Source organism: Homo sapiens, chromosome 12 (assembly GCF_000001405.40).
Source record: "Homo sapiens chromosome 12, GRCh38.p14 Primary Assembly".
NCBI classification, from domain to species: Eukaryota; Metazoa; Chordata; class Mammalia; order Primates; family Hominidae; genus Homo; species Homo sapiens.
This window is the reverse complement of record NC_000012.12, coordinates 55761240-55780431: the sequence shown is the minus strand read 5'-3', so window position 1 is coordinate 55780431 and position 19192 is coordinate 55761240. Positions and strand designations below refer to the sequence as shown.

Here is a 19192-nt window from a genome sequence, read left to right as displayed (position 1 = left end):
CCCAGGCTGGAATGCAGTGGCGCAATCTGAGCTCACTGCAACCTCTGCCTCCCAGGTTCAAGCAATTCTCCTGCCTCAGCCTCCCGAATAGCTGGGATTACGGGCATGTGCTACTATGCCCGGCTAATTTTTTGTGTGTTTTTAATAGAGATGGGGTTCCACCATATTGGCCAGGCTGGTCTTGAACTCCTGACCTTGTGATCTATCCACCTTGGCCTCCCAAAGTGCTGAGATTACAGGCATGAGCCACTGTGCCCGGCCTTATTTATTTATTTACTTATTTGGAGACAAGGTCTTGCTCTGTCGCCCAGGCTGAAGTGCAGTGGCATGATCACAGCTAACTGCAGCCTCCACCTCCCGGGTTTAAGTGACCCTCCCACCTCAGCCTCCTGAGTAGCTGGGACTACAGGCACAGACCAACACGCCCGGTCAATTTTTCAATTTTTTTGTGGAGACAGGGTCTCACTGTGTTACCCAAGCTGGTCTCAAACTCTTGGGCTCAAGTGATCCTCCCGCCTTGGTCTCGCAAACTGCTGGGATTGCAGGGTTGGGCCACCATGCCTGGCCTGTTCTATTTCATTATTGCTATTAATCTTTTATTGTGTCTAATTTATAAATTAAAATTACAGGTAAAATCATAGTATATATAGGGTTTGGTACTATTCGTGGCTTCAGGGGGTTTTGGAATGTATCCCCCTTGTATAAGAGGGACTACTGTACTATGGATTTAGAAGTTGGTCATCAGTCTTCTCAGAGGGTCTGTAATTAGGATTTCTTAGTTTAAGTATGGCTGTATAAACCTTTTCCAAAGGAAGAATGATGGGGCCATGCATAGGATATTACCAACATGGAACTTTATAAACCTAAGGAACCATAAGCTATGGTGAAGAGTTTGGTAGAATATCTTTAAAGGAAGTAGTGGTAGAAGAATTAGTTTCCAGAGTAAGTTGGAAAAGTAGCCTGCTTAGTAAGTTTGGGTTCTATTCAAATATACTCAAGCAGCAGTGCCTAGGCTTAGTGTAAAATTTAATTCTCCATTTCTCTTTCTCATACAGCCATGGGACCAAGAAAAACGCAGATAGTAGACATCTAAGTGGAAAAAACAAAACTCAACGTAGGCTCCCTCAGCCATTGATACCTCACTGATCAAGAGCTTTTGGGGGAATTTCCCCCCTCCTTCATCCTAGGTTATCAGTTTTCCCCAAAATCCTTCTTCCATTTGAATAACTATGTTCTTTTCAACTTAGATTAACCAACAAGGAAAGAAGATAACTCTATGGTAGATAGAGATAGCAGTTGAGAGAGTGGTTATCTTAGAAGATAAATTTCAGGAAAAGCTAAAACTCAACCTCACATAGTCTTCAGGATTTCTTAGATAACATTCTTGGAGTTTTTTGTTTGTTTAGTTTTTTGTGTTTTGTGTTTTGTTTTGTTTTGTTTTGTTTTGTTTTGCTTTGCTTTTTGAGACAGTCTCGCCCTGTCGCCCAGGCTGGAGTGCAATGGCACGATCTTGGCTCACTGCAACCTCTGCCTCTCAGGTTCAAGTGATTCTCCTGCCTCAGCCTCCTGAATAGCTTGGATTACAAGTGTGCGCCACCATGCCCGGCTAATTTTTTGTATCTTTAGTAGAGACAGAGTTTCACCATGTTGGCCAAGCTGATCTTAAACTCCTGATCTTGTGATCCGCCAGCCTCAGCCTCCCAAAGTGCTGGGATTACAGGCGTGAGCTACCACACCTGGCCTCTTGGAGCATTTTTAAGACTAAACAAATATTTAACCACTCCTTTACATTCCCTTTTCATTCATAATACTTTGAAAATAAATATTGGGCCTTTTCAAGGAGAGATACAACGTGTAATCCTATATCTGTTTTCTTCTTTTCTGTCTCCTCCCCTTTAAGATAAAAAAAAGACACTACTTTTCTCCACCCTCCCAATGGAACAAACTTTGAGGGAGTGGTAAAAGGAGCTGTTTAAAGGGGAAACAGGTCAGCACAGTGGCTCACACTTGTAATCTCAGCACTTTGAGAGGCCGAGGCAGGCAGATCACCTCAGGTCAGGAGTTTGAGACCAGCCTGGCCAACATGGTGAAACCCCATCTTTACTAAAAATACAAAAATTAGCTGAGTGTGTTGGCTCACACCTGTAGTCCCAACTACTCGGGAGGCTGAATCACGAGAATTGCTTGAACCGTGGAGGTGGAGGTCTCAGTAAGCTGAGATCATGCCACTGCACTCCAGCCTGGGCAACAGAGAGAGACTTGCTCTCAAAAATAATAATAATTAAAAAAAAGAGGAAACAATGGGGGAAACTCTCTGACCTCAGTTTATTCCATCATCTGGTTCTTCATTTGTCCCTGCGGAGGAACAGAACTTGTCTTTTGTCTGTAACACAAATACATCATCTCCCTCCCTTCCCAGTTTCCCCCACACCCACACTTCTTACTTTTATTATGGTTCCAATCAATGATGTCAATTATGTGTGCCATTCAACTGCTGTTGAACAACTTGGCTATAGGAATTTGGAAGAGCAAAGAGGCAGAATGGAATTTTTCTCTCTCCTAACTAGGGCGCTAGACAATGTATTCTAAATTCAACCAGAGAAGTAGGAGACAGGTGTTTCTTTGCTCAACTTCTCTTTCTACTGTCCCACTATTCCCTAATCCTCCAACACATACTTTTTACGTAGCCAGTGTATGAGGAAAAAATTGGACAAGAGACGTTAGACATATAAGTTGAACATTTTAAGAGGAAAGGTTTGGCTGGGTGTGGTGGCTCACACCTGTAATACCAGCACTTAGGGAGGCCGAGGCAGGTGGATCATGAGGTCAGGAGATCGAGAACATCCTGGCTAACATGATGAAACCCTGTCTCTACTAAAAATACAAAAAATTAGCAGCGCATGGTGGCATGTGCCCGTAGTCCCAGCTACTCGGGAGGCTGAGGCAGGAGAATCGCTTGAACCCGGGAGGCAGAGGTTGCAGTGAGCCTAGATGGTGCCACTGCACTCCAGCCTGGGCGACAGAGCGAGACTCCATCTCAAAAAAAAAAATAAAAAAAAAAGGAAAAGTTTTTAAAATTTAGAGAAACAAGGTGAAATTTTTGATGCTATGTCAACATTCATGGCTGGTGCCTTGCCCTATATTTACTGTAAACTAGGTATTTGGGAAAGTTATGTTAGATGTTTAGACTTCCCTAAAGGTGCATGGCTGAGATCATTAAGCTCTTGTACCTTTTAATTTTATGTATTTCTCTCTGATTTCATTCATTGAATTTGCACCTGAAGAACTTCAGGTAAAGAAATTTGTAGTAAGAAAAAACTCTTTTCTATTTTCCCTGGTCAATACCCCCTCCATAATGTCTTTGCATTCCTTCGTCTAACGTGTCAGAACTGATGACTTTGATAAAAAACAAGTTTTATGCCTCTCTTTGGCCCCCTGCTCGTCTTTGCCACAAGAGTAAACACAGCCTGAAAGGGAGAAGAGTGCTGGATTCTGTTAAGTCTGTTTTACTTTTCAATATTCAGTTTGTTTTTGCCAGACAAACTGGTTCAGTTGTTTTTGCCAGCCTGGTTCTTGAGATGGGCTTATTGTCTGGGTAAGAGTTTTTTCTTTTTTCTTTTGAAAGTACCACTCTTAGTACATAAGGTAAATAATTTTAAAAATTACATTATATCCAGTTGTATATCTAATTTTAGGGTGATAGATAGTTGGCCTGGCCTTTCTAAGTGAAGCAATATCTATCCACACTCCCAGATACTCTCCCCAGCTGTGGTGAAATGTGAGCTCTCTGAATCCAAGTATACTCAGCCCTCTGTATCCATGGGTTCCACATCTGTGGATCAAAAGCATTTGGGGGGAAAAATACAACAATAAAAAATAATACAAATGAAGCAGTATTGTATAACAGCTATTTATACATAAGTACTCTAGAGATGATTTAAAGTATGTAGGCGGATGAGCATAGTTTATATGCAAATACTATGCTATTTTTTTGTTTTGTTTTGTTTTTAAAGATGTGGTCTCACTTATAGAGTGCCGTGTCCCAGATCATGGCTCACTGCAGCCTCCACCTCCTAGGCTCAAGTAATCCCACCTCATCCCCAACAAGTAGCTGGGACCACAGGCATGCACCACCACACCCGGCTAATTTTAGTTTGCAGAGACAGGGTCTCCCTATTTTGCCCAGGCTGGTATCAAACTCCTGGGCTCAAGGAGTCCTCTTGCCTCTCAAAGTGCTTGGATTGCAGACGGAAGCCACTGCACCTAGCCTTATGTCATTTTATATAAGGGACTTGAGCACCCACAGATTTTGGTATCTGCGGGTGGAGGCAGGGGTGGTCCTTGAACCATTACTTCTTGGATACTGAGGGACAACTGTATATCCTTCAGAGTCTGTATGGGAGGAAATAAAGTGGTGTTGGGGAAGGAATTTTTTGGTATATGTGTATGTGATTAATTTTTTTGATAGGAAATTTTGGTTAAAGGCTCCTCATGTGAGAGCAATGGCAGAATGGGAATGTTTAGAATGTATGTTAATACTTGAGAGGCTTATATATGTGGGTTCAGTTAAAATAAGATTGAACAATTATGGGATAGTTCATTTTCTTATATACTCACCAAAATAGCAGAGTTGCTCTTCATGACTGATAGCTGAAGAAGGTCAGATCCCATAGTATTTTGGAGATGGAGGTGGGGATGAGGCAGGACATCAAATTGGAGATGTTTTAAGGGGAATACTTGTTGGTGATGTTTGTAAATTAGCAAAGACCCCATTTTTAATATAATATGAAGTCCCTTGTTAAGATCTAGAAAATTTTAACTCCTTTCTTCCTCTCCCCTTCCTTTGCTACTCTTTTTTTCATAGTTTTTTTTTTTTGTTTTTGTTTTTTGTTTTTTTTTTTTTGAGACAGAGCGCGATCCCAGCTCACTGCAAATCTCTGCCTCCTGGGTTCAAACAATTCTCCTGCCTCAGCCTCCTGAGTAGCTGGGACTGCAAGTATGCACCACCATGCCCGGCTAATTTTTGTATCTTTGGTAGAGGCCGGGTTTCACCCATGTTGGCCAGGCTGGTCTCGAACTCCTGACTTTGGGTGATCCACCCACCTCAGCCTCCTAAAGTGCTGGGGATTACAGGCGTGAGCCACCATGCTTGTCCATCTTTTTTTCATGTTCTTTTTTTTTTTTTTTTTTAATTTTAACCTTTTAACTCCCAGAGCATATTCTTAGGAAAGAAATAGAAATGTGTGGCTGGGCGTGGTGGCTCGCACCTGTAATCCCAGTGCTTTGGGAGGCTGAGGCAGGCGGATCACGAGGTCAGGAGATGGAGACCATCCTGGCTAACACGGTGAAACCCCATCTCTACTAAAAATACAAAAAAATTAGTCGGGTGTGGTGGCACACACTTGTAATCCCAGCTATTTGGGAGGCTGAGGCAGGAGAATGGCTTAAACCTGGGAGGTGGAGGTTGCAGTGAGCCAAGATTGCGCCACTGTGCTCCAGTCTGGGCGACAGAGCGAGACTCCATCTGCCAAAAAAAAAAAAAAAAAAACAAATAGAAATGTGTTTTCAGGGTGTTGTATATTTGGAGTTTGTAACAAATATTAAATCTGGAAATCCCTGGCAGGGGAGATGCGTAACTGAGAAGGAGATTATATTTGAAATACTTGAGCTGGACTTCATTTTATTTTATTTATTTATTTTGAGGGTGCTTTTGCTCTTGTCACCCAAGCTGGAACCTCCCACTGCAACCTCCACTTCCTGGGTTTAATCAATTTTCCTGCCTCAACCTCCCGAGTAGCTGGGATTACAGGTGCATGCCGCCACACCTGGCTAATTTTTGTTTTTTTTTTTTTGTTTGTTTTTTTTTTTTTTTCAGTAGAGACGGGGTTTCACCGTGTCGGCTAGGCTGGTCTTGAACTCTTGACCTCAAAGTGATCCACCCACGTAGGCCTCCCAAAGTCCTGGGATTACAGGCATGAGCCACCGTGCCTAGCCCGTTGATCTTGACATTAGAAAGTAATTATTGGTAGGGAGTTTATTGGGGTATAGAGGAGTCAGTTACAGAATTTGCATATCGTACCCATGCTTAGGTATGAGGTGGTTGAAAAGAAGGAGCAGTTAGAAATGAACAAATGTGGTACAGTGGCTCGTGCCTGTAATCCCAACACTTTGGGAGGCCAGAGTGGGAGGATCACTTGAGCCCAGGAATTGAGACCAGCCTGTGCAGCATAGTGAGACCTTGTCTCTACAAGAAAATAAACAATTAGCTGGGTGGGGTGGCATGCCTGAAGTCCCAGCTACTTGGGAGGCTGAGGTGGGAGGATTGCTTGAGCCAAGGAGGTCCAGGCTGCAGCGAGCTATGGTTGTGCCACTGCACTCCAGCCTGGGTGACAGAGCGAGAGACTCTGTCTCAAAAAGAAAAAAGGGCCAGGTGCATTGGCTCATGCCTGTAATCCTAGCATTTTGGGAGGCCAAGGCGGGTGGATCACTTGAGGTCAGGAGTTCGGGACCAGCCTGGCCAACATGGTGAAACCCCGTCTCTACTAAAAATACAAAAATTAGCTGGTGTGGTGGGCACCTGTATTCCCAGCTACTCAGGAGGCTGAGGCAGGAGAATCACTTGAACCTGGGAGGTGGAGGGTTGCAGTGAGCAGAGATCGCACCATTGCACTCCAGCCTGGGCGACAAGAGCAAAACTCTGTCTCAAAAAAGAAGAAGAAGAAATCCCATTTTCCTTTTCCCCCACTTTATTGATATTACTCCTTTTCCTTTGTGTCAGTTCTGTAGGAAAAAATGCCTTTGTGTGCTGCAACCTAGTTGCCTCCCTCTTTTCCCCACATAACTGCAGTGTGCCCTGATCTTGTTTTGGCACGTTCTTTCTGTATTGAACTATGATGAAAGATTCTCTCTGCTTTTCTATTTGAATTGTAGGAGAGCAATAAGACAGGTGTGCTACCTAGAGTCCTCTGTGATTTCTTCACATCTCTCTTTTTACCCCTCACATCTCTGCAGCTGAAATAGTTTTTGTAGGAAGCATAAACTTTGGAATACCCTTAGCATTTATAGGAGATAATTGGAGCAGGATGGGAGTCTTACTTGGACTTGATGAGAAATTTTAAAAAGTTGTTTGGTCTATATTTTTTCAAAGCTACTTGAAATTGGCCCCAAATAATGGTTGCATGTAAGGGTTACAGGGGACCCTTTAAAAAATACAGCTCTGTAGGCCTTCCCTTTTGAGATACAGATTAATTAGGTTGGGTTGTGGCCTGAAATCTGCATTTTTAAATACTTTAGATGAAAATAATCTGTTTTCCTAGTGCTCACTCTAAATTTCTGAATGGTCAGGTAACTGTCCTCCCTTCTCTGTATGTTTTGGCTAAGACAGCATTCACGTCTCCTGAAAAGTTTCAGCTTCCCAGGCTGGGCATGGTGGCTCACGCCTGTAATCCCAGCACTTTGGGAGGCCGAGGCGGGCAGATCACCTGAGATTGGAAGTTAGAGACCAGCCTGGCCAACATGGAGAAACCCTGTCTCTACTGAAAAATACAAAATTAGCCGGGCGTGGTGTTGCGTGCCTGTAATCCCAGCTACTCGGGAGGCTGAGGCAGGAGAATCACTTGAACCCGGGAGGTGAAGGTTGTGGTGAGCTGAGATCATGCCATTGCACTCCATCCTGGGCAGAAAGAGCAAAACTCTGTCTCAAAAAAAAAAAAAAAAAAAGTTTCAGCTTCCCTCTACTGACTTCTTGACATTTCTGCCAGGCTCTGCATCACTTATCCTCAAAAGCAGCAGCTCCTTGGCTTTTAAAGGAGGGAGATGGGGACTTTTAATAGAAACTTGATTTCTGGGGGTGTCAAGTGTGACACCTTCATTTCCTCTGCCTGCCTTGCTTTGTCCTACAATCAGCTAGAGCAAGACCGAAACGACCTCCTCTGGGGTTGAAGAGGAGTGGGGGTTGGGGAAAGAGCTTGATTTGGACAAGAGAAAGAAAAAGTGGTAGAACCTAGTGAGTGAGTGGTTCTGAGCTGACTGTGTTCTTGGGCTTCAAATCCTGTGAAGATAAGAGGAGATGCAATTCCTGGTGTTCTCTAATTGTCGTGTAACTTTAAAGTTCCTAGCACCCTACCAGCCCTAGAAAGTTGATACTGATCTCACACTTGAAAGAGATTATTGAGAGTAGGTTAAGGTGGTTATATTGGGGAGGTGTGTTATGTGTATATGTGTGGATAGTGTTGGAGTGTCTCTACCATATTATTTGCTAAGGCGGTGTACTTGCTGCTAGTCTGGTCTCTCACCTTCATCTACTTAAGCTCTGTGCATTGATTTTTGGGACCACCCTATGTTCTGTCGTCTGGTTGGCATAAAGGCTCGGGAATAAACAGTTTCAGAAACTGGGGCAGGGGAGGTGACAGCTGTGTTTTTAAGCATCCAAGTGTTTCTGAGAGAATAACCATCAGTTGCTGTCATTCATCCTGAGAGTATGAAATTGGAAGCTCGCTTACCCTGGAGTGTTTCATAACCTTTACCTCTGGGAAGTCAAGGCCGTGTCATCATTAATCTACCATCGCCTGAAAGCCCCCAGGCTCTGCTTTTCATCCTGCCATCAGTCACGTGGCACTGAGATTCAGGCTCCCTCTTTTCCTTTTTGCCATGCTACCTTACATTCCTTTGGAAATCAGACTGGCCTGAGAACTATTAACATCTTAGTATGGTAACTCATTTACAAAGGGGGGCAGTTATTTGTTATTTTTGTGAAATATGACATCTTAGCTCTCTGTCAGCCTCTCTTCCATCACTCTAGGGAAAAGACTTTTGAGGGGGAAAATAATAGCAGTACCTGAGCTCCCCTGAAATGCTTCTTTCTGCTTCTAAGGATTTTTCTGACTGGACTCTTTAGATTGGAATTTCTGCTTCTCACACATGGTATAAGGAGGGATGATAAGTGAGTGAGCTTGTTACACTTGACCAGGAACAGTGCCTGGCTTGGTTAATTCTTTTGGTCGCAGAGAATAACGATGTTTCTTATTTGAATCCAGTGAAAGTACTCATGCTTTGTGTTCTTGGGAATTACTGAGTTCAAATTCCTAATGATGCTTGGGTTACACTTTGCTTTGTTTCTCCTAGTTTCTTTTTATATGATCCGGAGTGGCACTGGTAATAAGATTGAAGAAGGTGGGCCGGGCACAGTGGCTCACACCTGCAATCCCAGCACTTTGGGAGGCCGGGGCAGGCGGATCACCTGAGGTCAGGAGTTCGAGACCAGCCTGGCTAACATGGTGAAACCCCGTTTCTACTAAAAATACAAACAAACAAACAAACAAACAAAAAACAGCCAGGCGTGGTGGCATGCGCCTGTAATCCCAGCTACTTGGGAGGCTGAGGCAGGAGAATCACTTGAACCCGGGAAGGAGAGGTTGCAGTGAGCCGAGATCACATCATTGCACACTCCAGCTTGGGCAACAAGAGCGAAACTCTGTTAAAAAAAAAAAAAAAAAAGATTGAAGAAGGTGAATGCTTTCAACACACAACCCATGGGATGCTAATTACATCAAATTGGACCCCTTTTGGCAGAGTAAACAGCCATGGCACACAAGCAAGGAGCAGTATTCTTTACTGTATTTAGGATAAAATTAGTAAGTTTTGAAAAATGTTCTCATGACTTTATATCTTGAAGACACAGGTTGGGTTTAGAAAATAAAGTTAGAACTCCATTTTGGGTAGACATAGTAATGGTACTCTGCTGTAAAAAGGGAACAGACACTTTAGAAAATATCTGTGGTATTCAGCTGCCAATTGTTGCATCTGATCTTCCTTTTGCAACTTACTTCCTGGCTACAGTATATATGCCATGGAAATCATTGCTAAGAACCCTTAATTTAAAATTTCTAGTTATAGGCTGGGCGTGGTGGCTCATGCCTGTAATCACAGCACTTTGGGAGACTGAGGCAGGCGGATCATGAGGTCAGGAGATCGAGACCATCCTGGCTAACACGGTGTAAACCCGTCTCTACTAAAAATACGGAAAAAAAAAAAAAAAACCTAGCTGGGCGTGGTGGTGGGCGCCTGTAAGTCCCAGCTACTCGGGAGACTGAGGCAGGAGAATGGCCTGAACCCAGGAGGCGGAGCTTGCAGTGAGCTGAGATCACGCCACTGCACTCCAGCCTGGGCGACAGAGCGAGACTCCATCTCAAAAAAAAAAAAAAAATTCTAGTTATAACCTGATGACTCTTTCCTCTCTCTTTTTTCTTCTGAGGACATTGAGTATTTTAAAATAAATTCCATTATGTTTATAGAGGAGTACGTTCTTAAGGGACCAGCAGCAACCCTGTAACTAACTACACTTCATCTTGCTTTCTAAATTCCTATCTCTGTTTCTGTGTGTTTGCTTTTCATCTCTGGATTTCATGTTTCTCTCTCACTTCAATACCTCTGGCCTCTCTCTTCTAATAGAAACACAGATACTCCTCTCCTTACAATGGGGGCTATGTCCTGATAAAAACCCGTCTTAAGTCAAAAGTGCATTTAATACACCTAACCTTCTGAACATCATAGCTTAGCTAGTTGACCTTAAAAATCCCAGAACACTTATATTAGTCTGCAGTTGGGCAAAATCATCTAACACAAAGCCTATTTTGTAATAAAGTGTTGATTATCTCATGTAACTTATTGAATACCGAAAGTGAACAGAGTGGTTGTATGGATACGTCAAGTATAGTTTCTACTGAGCATGCATCGTTCGCCGTTGTAAAGTTGAAAAATCTTAAGGCAAAGCATCATAAGTTGGAGACCATTTGTATGTTCAAAATCACTTGCTAAAGGTAGGCCACACATTTGGCTCCAAACTTTATGGCAGCCAGTAGAAAGGGAAAGCACAGTTGCACTGTTTATGGTGATTCACAAGATTCAGAAGGTAAAAAGCTAGCAAGTTGCCCAAGAAAAGCATAACTCTTTTGGATCTGGGGGCTAGAAAGCAAATTTCCGTTATGAGTCCTCATAATGTAGTTATGTAAAGAACAGTAGTATACACCTTTATAGTAACTTGGTGAATTCATAAGCCTCGTGAAGTTAAGGTTCTTATTCCTTAACTTTATCTTATTGATCTCTGTATTCCCAGTACCTGACCCAAAGTAGATACTCATTTGACTACTGAATGAATTAATTAATTTTATGGCTACAATGCTATTGAAAATGTTGATTGAACCTGATGTCACATAATTCAGTGAAAGAGATTCCTCAGGGGCCTTTAGAGAACCTGGGATTGGATCTACATAGATAGAGGTTAGATCCTTGCCCAGTCCCCTCATATATTACCTTAAATAGATATCTTTTATTGTTAGTCGTTAATTATTAGGGTTTATGAAATCAGCAAAGCCTAGCAGCCCAGATTTTCAAGGTCTGAGAAAGAGAAGATAGTTTGGCCTGGCATGGTGGCTCACACCTGTAATCCCAGCACTTTGAGAGGCTGAGGAGGGTGGATCACTTGAGGTTCAAGACCAGCCTGGCCAACATGGTGAAACCCCATCTCTACTAAAAATACAAAAAATTAGCTGGGCATAGGGCTTACACCTGTAATCCCAGCTACTTGAGAGGCTGAGACAGGAGAATCGCTTAAACCCAGGAGACGGAGATTGCAGTGAGCCGAGATCGTGCCATTGCACTGCAGCCTGGGCAACAGAATGAGACTTTGTCTCAAAAAAAAGAAAGAGGCTGGACATGGTAGCTCACGCCTGTAATCCTAGCACTTTGGGAGGCTGCGGCGGGTGGATCGCCTGAGGTCAGGAGTTCGAGACCAGCCTGGCTGACTTGGTGAAACCCTGTCTCTACTAAAAATACAAAAATTAGCCTGGTGTGGTGGTGGTGGGCACCTGTAATCCCAGCTACTCCAGAGGCTGAGGCAGGAGAATCTCATGAACCCGGGAGGTGGGGGTTGCAGTGAGCCGAGATCGCGCCACTACACTCTAGCCTGGGCGATGGAGTGGGACTCAGTCTCAAAAAAATAAGAGGGCTGGGCACGGTGGCTCATGCCTGTAATCCCAGCACTGTGGGAGGCTGAGGTAGGCGGATCACCTGAGGTCAGGAGTTCGAGACCAGCCAAGCCAACATGGAGAAACCCTGTCTCTACTAAAAATTAAAAAAAAAATTAGCTGGGCGTGGTGGCAGGCACCTGTAATCCCAGCTACTTGGGAGGCTGGGGCAGGAGAATCGCCTGAACCCGGGAGGCGGAGGTTGCAGTGAGCCGATGTCACGCCTTTGCGCTCCAGCCTGGTGACAGAGTGAGACTCTGTCTCTAAATAAATAAATAAATAAGAGAGAGAGAGAGGGAGGGAAGGAGGGAGATGGTTAATAGGACTTTGTGGAGAAGACTGATTTTGTCCAGTAACTGTTCTTCCACAACCCAAATTTTAACCCTTAGTCATCTGTCCAAATATATACTCATTTTCCTTGAAGCTAAAGGGAATTTTCTTGTTGCCTTGGTAATGGATCTAATTCTTACCAGCCTTTGGTGATTTTGCTCATTTATTTATTTGTTTATTTGTATTTGTGTGTGTGTGTGTATATCCTTTTTTTTTTTTTTTTTTTTTTTCTGAGAGGGAGTCTCGCTCTGTTGCCTAGGCTGGAGTGCAGTGGCGCGATCTCGGCTCACTGCAAGCTCTGCCTCCCGGGTTCACACCATTCTCCTGCCTCAGCCTCCCGAGTAGCTGGGACTACAGGCGCCCGCCACCATGCCTGGCTAATTTTTTGTATATTTAGTAGAGACGGGGTTTCACCGTGTTAGCCAGGATGGTCTCGATCTCCTGACCTCGTGATCCACCCGTCTCGGCCTCCCAAAGTGCTGGGATTACAGGCATGAGCCACTGTGCCCGGCTTGTATTTGTATATTTTTGAGACAAGATCTCACTCTGTTGCCCAGACTGAAGTGCAGCGGCGTGACAATGGCCCACTGCAGCCTCAACCTCCTTGGCTCAAGCAGTCCTCCCCCATCAGCCTCTCGAGTAGCTGGAACCACAGGCATGTACCACCATGCCCAGCTAAATTTTTTTTTTTTTTTGGTAGAGATGGGGTCTCACTATGTTGCCCAGGTTGGTCTTGAACTCCTGGGCTCAAGTGATCCTCCCACCTCAGCCTCCCAAAGTGCTTGGGATGGCATGTGTGAACCACCACACTAGGCCACCATGATTTCACTTCTTATCTAGAAGAATGAATGGCATTGTTAGCTTAAATTTTGATTGTGATCTCAAACTTTGTTTCAAGGACCAGGAGAAATACGGCAATAAAAGTAATAGCTAACATTTATTGAATACCTTTTATAGTTCCTGTGTGCAAAGCACTCTTTACACATGTAATTTGTATCTTGGAGCAGGCTTGAATGTCTGTCTTTTCTCTTTCAGGTATTGTTTTCAAGGGCTCAGTTTGGAACTGTATTCTACAATGGAAAATACAATGATACTAAGGGTATTTGGTTTTATTAAATATAGACCCTGGGGCTGGGCATGGTAGCTCATTCCTGTAATCCTAGCACTTTGGGAGGCAGAGACTAGGAGGCAGAGACTAGGCGGCAGAGGCGGGTAGATTGCTTGAGCTTAGGAGTTCAAGACCAGCCTGGGCAACATGGTGAAACCCTCTCTCTACAAAAAAACAAAAATTAGTTGGGCGTGTTGGCTTGCGCCTGTGGTCCCAGCTGCTTGGAAGGCTGAGGTAAGAAGCTCCCTTGAGCCTGGGAGGTGGAGGTTGCAGTGAGCTGACATTGAGCCACTACACTCCAGCCTGGGTGACAGAGTGAGACTGTCTCAAAAAAACAACCCCCCCCCCCCCCCCGCCAAAAAAACCCACAAAATATATAGACTATGCTTTCTGTTCTTATATAGGTACTCTCTCCTCTTTTGCACAATTGTTTCTCATGTTTATAAATGAGATCTTAAGGAAAGCGAACAAGACAGGTATTAGGTACCATGAGGTTTGTATATACTGAAATTACTGGCATCTGTCGGTTGGCTTGGTGTTTTAAATCTTGAGATGGAAGAGGAGGGAGGAATTGAAATGTATGGATTAATCTGAACATCCAATGAATGTATTTGGCCAGTAAGGACAGTTTTCTCTTGATTTTGGGTGCAAATTGTTTGTTTTTAGGAGTATAGATTTGATAGGAAATAAGGGCACTTCAGATTCAAGCACTTCTCTTCTCACACAGGAGTATGCATGGGAAGAAAAAAGAGATTTGTTAGTAGCTGAGGGTTTGAGAGAGGGTAGTGGGGGAGGGATGAAGAAGGGAAAGGTTTTCAAATGCATGTGACACTGAGCTAGAGGGGTCACTGCTGCCTGCAGATGCCACAACCCCATTTGTGCACTTGAGCATGGCCTGAGGGAGCATTGGCCTGATGAATGCAGAGAGACATGAGTTTTGATCGAGGTAATTTCCCTCAGATGGGGTTCACCATCCCATGAATCAAAACCTGTCAGCAAGGAGCTAAAGATGGAGTGAAGTTTATTGTACGTTTGTTTCCATGCAACACCGTCACGCTAGAAGGGTCAAGTGAGAGAGATCATTAGAACTGTGTTGATTTACTGGGCCCAGTTGTGCACTTTCCCTGCAGGGAAAGGAGGAAAGAGGCTTTAAGAGAGGAGCTGAGGGGTGCTGGGTGGGGAGGGAAGAGCAGGCTATTTGTGGAGGGTTGGGGGAACGATGTATTGTTGTTGTTGTTTTCCCCTGGAACCCCTAATGGGTTTAGAACAGATGCTCTGCCTGTATCTCCTGAAGAGGCACCAAAGATCTTGTTTAAAAGGGAAGCTAGGCTGGGTGTGGTGGCTCATGCCTGTAATCCCAGCACTTTGGGAGGCGAGGTGAAAGGATTGCTTGAGTCCGGGAGTTTGAAACCAGTCTAGGCAACATAGCAAGACCCTGTCTCTATTAAAAAAAAAAAAAAATTAGCCAGGCATGGCACATACCTTTAGTTCTTAGCTACTGAGGAGGCTAAGGTTGGAGGATTACTTGAGCCCAGGGATTCAACATTACAGTGAGCCATGATCATGCTACTGCACGACAGCATGGCAACAGAGTGAGGCCCTGTCTCTAAAAAACGTGGGCAGCGAGGCAGGTGGCTAATGGGGAAATCAGACTCCCCATTTGAGGATATAGCCAAATAAAGAACCAGGAGAAGCAAAACTGGCCCGCACATTCCAAGTGGACATACGTTGGGGGAGGGCTTGGCCTCAGGGTTTGTGCTTATATAATGTCTGGGTTTCAAAAGTCTTATCTCCTCTGTGATTTGAACTTGCTGAAGTACTGCTAGTGCTAAATTGAATGGAAAAAAGTTTATAATGGTAGTTTAACAAGATAGTGGTCTAGTCTTGCCTCTCCGCAAGAAGAGAGGCTCCATTTATTTTCCTGAAAACTGTTTCCTACTTGGCCGGGAGACTTAGTGAAGATATATCAACTAGAACATTCTAGAGGTTCTCAACTTGAAATCCCCATTTATATTCCGTATTCACTTTATCTTAGTGGTAGTAGATCAAGGAAACTTTCCCCCTTGACTTTGTTAGTAAAAAATGTGGTGGGACTTAATGTTTGTTGGAAACCTTCCTTTTTTTTTTTTTTTTTTTTTGTGAGACAGAGTCTGGCTCTGTTGCCAGGCTGGAGTGCAGTGGCGTGATCTTGGCTCCCTGCAACCTCCGCCTCTCGGGTTCAAGTGATTCTCCTGCCTCAGCTTCCCGAGTAGGGACTACTACTCGCCACCACACCCAGCTAATTTTTGTATTTTTTTTAATAGAGATGGGGTTTCACCATGTTGGCCAGGATAGTCTCTATATCTTGACCTTGTGATTTGCCTGCCTCGGCCTCCCAAAGTGCTGGGATTACCGGTGTGAGCCACTGCGCCCAGCCTTATTCTTTTTTTTTTTTTTTTTGAAATGGAGTTTCGCTCTTGTTGCCCAGGCTGGAGTGCAATGGCGAGATCTCGGCTCACCGCAACCTCCACCTCCCGGGTTCAAGCGCTTCTCCTGCCTCAGCCTCCCAAGTAGCTGGGATTACAGGCATGCGCCACCACGCCCAGCTAATTTTGTATTTTTAGTAGAGGCGGGGTTTCTCCATGTTGGTCAGGCTGGTCTCGAACTCCCGACCTCAGGATTTTAGAAGATCCTTCCTGGGATTTTCTCAAAGTGGTGGGATTACAGATGTGAGCCACTGCTCCCAGCCCCTTATTCTTTTATTACATCTCAACAAATGGAATAGCCAATTAAGCAAAATTAGAACCAGATTTAGCTGAGAAAAACATTAGTACAAGATTACTAACTGGAGCCCTTTTCCTAGATACTGTTACTTATAAATTGTAGGTATATGGTACGTTAGAAGAAGGGGTCCTAGTATTCTTGACCTGATTATTTGAGTGATGTGATTAAAATTTACAAGTTTTTTTAGCTAAGGGTTCTAGTGATCCTTCCTCCTTGGGAGTTAAGCACTTAATTGTCCTACTGTTCTTCCAAAGAAATACTTAAGTGAGATACCTTGAGGAGGTGGTAAGGCTAAGAAAGTGGATTCCTGAGTAAAATGTCCTGGATTCCAATCCTCGTATTATTTGTGAAATTTTGGGTGAGTCACTTAATCTCTCCAAGACTAAATTTTCCTATCTATGAAATGAATTTAATTGCTGTGCCTACTCCATAGGATTATTATAAGAAGTAAATGATGCCAGGTACAGTGGCTCACACCTGTAATCCCAGCACTTTGGGAGGCTGAGGCAAGAGGATTGATTGAGCCCAGGAGTTCAAGACTAGCCTGGGAAACATAGCGAGATCCCCCTCTCTGCAAAAATTAAAATAAAGTAGTAAATGAGCCTGGATGCAGTGGCTCACGCCTGTAATCCCAACACTTTGGAAGGCGAAGTGGGCGGATCACCTGAGGTCAGGAGTTCGAGACCAGTTTGGCTAACGTGGCGAAACCCCATCTCTACTAAAAATACAAAAATTAGGTGTGGTGGCGTGCGCATGTAGTCCCAGCTACTCAGGAGGCTGAGGCGGGAGAATCCCTTGAACCTGGAAGGTGGAGACTGCATTGAGCCAAGATGGCACCACTGCACTCCAGCCTGGGCGACAGAGCGAGACTCTGTCTCTGGGGAAAAAAAAAAAAAAAAGTAGTAAATGAGATATTGCATGTGTAAAGAACTGCACACAGTACCTGGCATATACTAAGCACTCAGATGTTCATGGCTATAATGTTATTATTTTAATTTATTATTATTAAGGACAAGAATACTTATGTTTTTCTTTGAACCTGGCTTAATGTTTTTACAATAGTTCAGAGTACATTAATGAGGTACCCGCTATGGATTTGCTGGTGGTCATAATGAGAAAGGCAGAAAAACTGTGTAGGCAGTAGTTTATTCTAGTAATAAACTGTGATTAAATGATAACTTGTATAGGATTCTTAATTGCTTCATAACCATCATTCTTTCTTAGGTCTCTTCCTACTCACTAGAAAGCAGGTGCAGCAAAAGGGAGAAAATGAACATCTTTCTCAAGCTGAAAGAGTTAAAGACCAAGACAGTACTCCTGCCTGCTGTGTTCAGACAGGTGGACTAGTTAAATTGAGCACAGAAAGCTGGATAGCTGCCCTGCTTTTGATTTGTACAGGTGGCTGCTGTGGCCACAGGGACAAAGACAACTCCTTGGTTGGGGTTGAGAGTAGAGGCATTGAAAAATTGCTGTATATTTCTGTAGGTCTTTTTGTTACCTTTGCTTTTGACCTTGTAGTTTTGGGACACCCAGAGACACAGCCTGCCTATAGACTGTAGGACTATAATTTCCTTGGGATTTAAAAACAAATCCAGCTCAGAAGCACCACACAGACATTCTTTAAAAGTTTGTTTGAGGCCAGGCGCAGTGGCTCACACCTGTAATCCCAGCACTTTGGGAGGCCAAGGTGGGCGGATCACCTGAGGTTGGGAGTTCGAGACCAGCCTGACCAACATGGAGAAACCCCGTCTCTACTAAAAATACAAAATTGGCCGGGCATGGTGGCACATGCCTGTAGTCCAGCTACTTGGGAGGCACAGGTTGCAGTGAGCTGAGATTGTGCCACTGCACTCCAGCCTGGGTAACGAAGTAAGACTCTGTCTCAAAAAAAAAAAAAAAAAAGTTTGTTTGAACTCTTTGGAGACGGAGTCCCACTCTGTCTACCCAGGCTGGACTGCAATGGCATGATCTCAGCTCACTGTAACCTCCGCCTCCTGGGTTCAAGCTATTTTCCTGCCTCAGCCTCCCAAGTAGCTGGGATTACAGGCACCTGCGGCCATGCTTGGCCAATTTTTGTATGTTTAGTAAAGATGGGTTTCACCATGTTGGCCAGGCTGGTCTCCAACTCCTGACCTCAAGTGATCTGCTTGCCTTGGCCTCCCAAAGTGCTGGAATTACAGGTGTGAGCCACTGTGCCCTTGTTTGAACTCTTGCTTATCTGTCCTTCTGTTGGGTTAACAACGTAAATAAAGTCAAAGAAACTGTCCTGCTCTTTAGTGAGGATGGGTACATCTCTAGGGAGTAGAGGGTCTCTTGAGATTATGAGAGAATGAGATCTTTTTATATATGTGCCAAATTTTAGAAAGTCCTTCCTGGGGGAAAGACACCCGAGGAGCCTACCTGATTTCAGATGTTTTCTAATCCTGAGGCTGAGCTTCTGATGACTGGTGATAAGATGTGAGGGGGAGGTGGAGAAAGAGAAAATAACTGTTAAAGTGGGCTAAATAAAATGGTAGGGTTTAGGTTCTGATAGGAAAATATATAGACTCTTATACTGAGCAGTGTTGGACATGAATGATACAAAACACCTAGAATAATGGCGAGCTCCAACTCATGGTAAACTGAAATATTCTCTCATTCCCAGGCAGACATCATGAGTTTCACAGATGCTTGGAAAATGTCCACAGCATTTCTCTTAGAGAGTTGACCATGGCTGTCACCTTGATTCACCTGTTTTAAGAATCATTTCAAACTATTCAGAGCCTTCTATGGCTTTGCTGGGTGTTTCAAGCAAATAAGTTTTTCAGAAATACCACTCTGGCCCTCTTCCCCTTTCTTTCCTTGGTAACGTGTAAGCATTGTTCAACAAGTAGTTTGGGTACCTTCTAACTAGGTGTTACTAGGTGTAACTTTGGGTGTTATTCAGTGAAACCTCAGTTTTCCATATCCCTCAACTGCCAGAATTGCT

General features: G+C 44.0%; 1 protein-coding gene across 3 annotated transcripts in view; it reads left to right on the top strand.

The window, feature by feature from the left end:
- SARNP (SAP domain containing ribonucleoprotein) overlaps nt 1-19192 on the top strand; it is a 65262-nt gene that overhangs the window by 37293 nt on the left and 8777 nt on the right. The gene's annotated exons all lie outside the window — the stretch shown is intronic.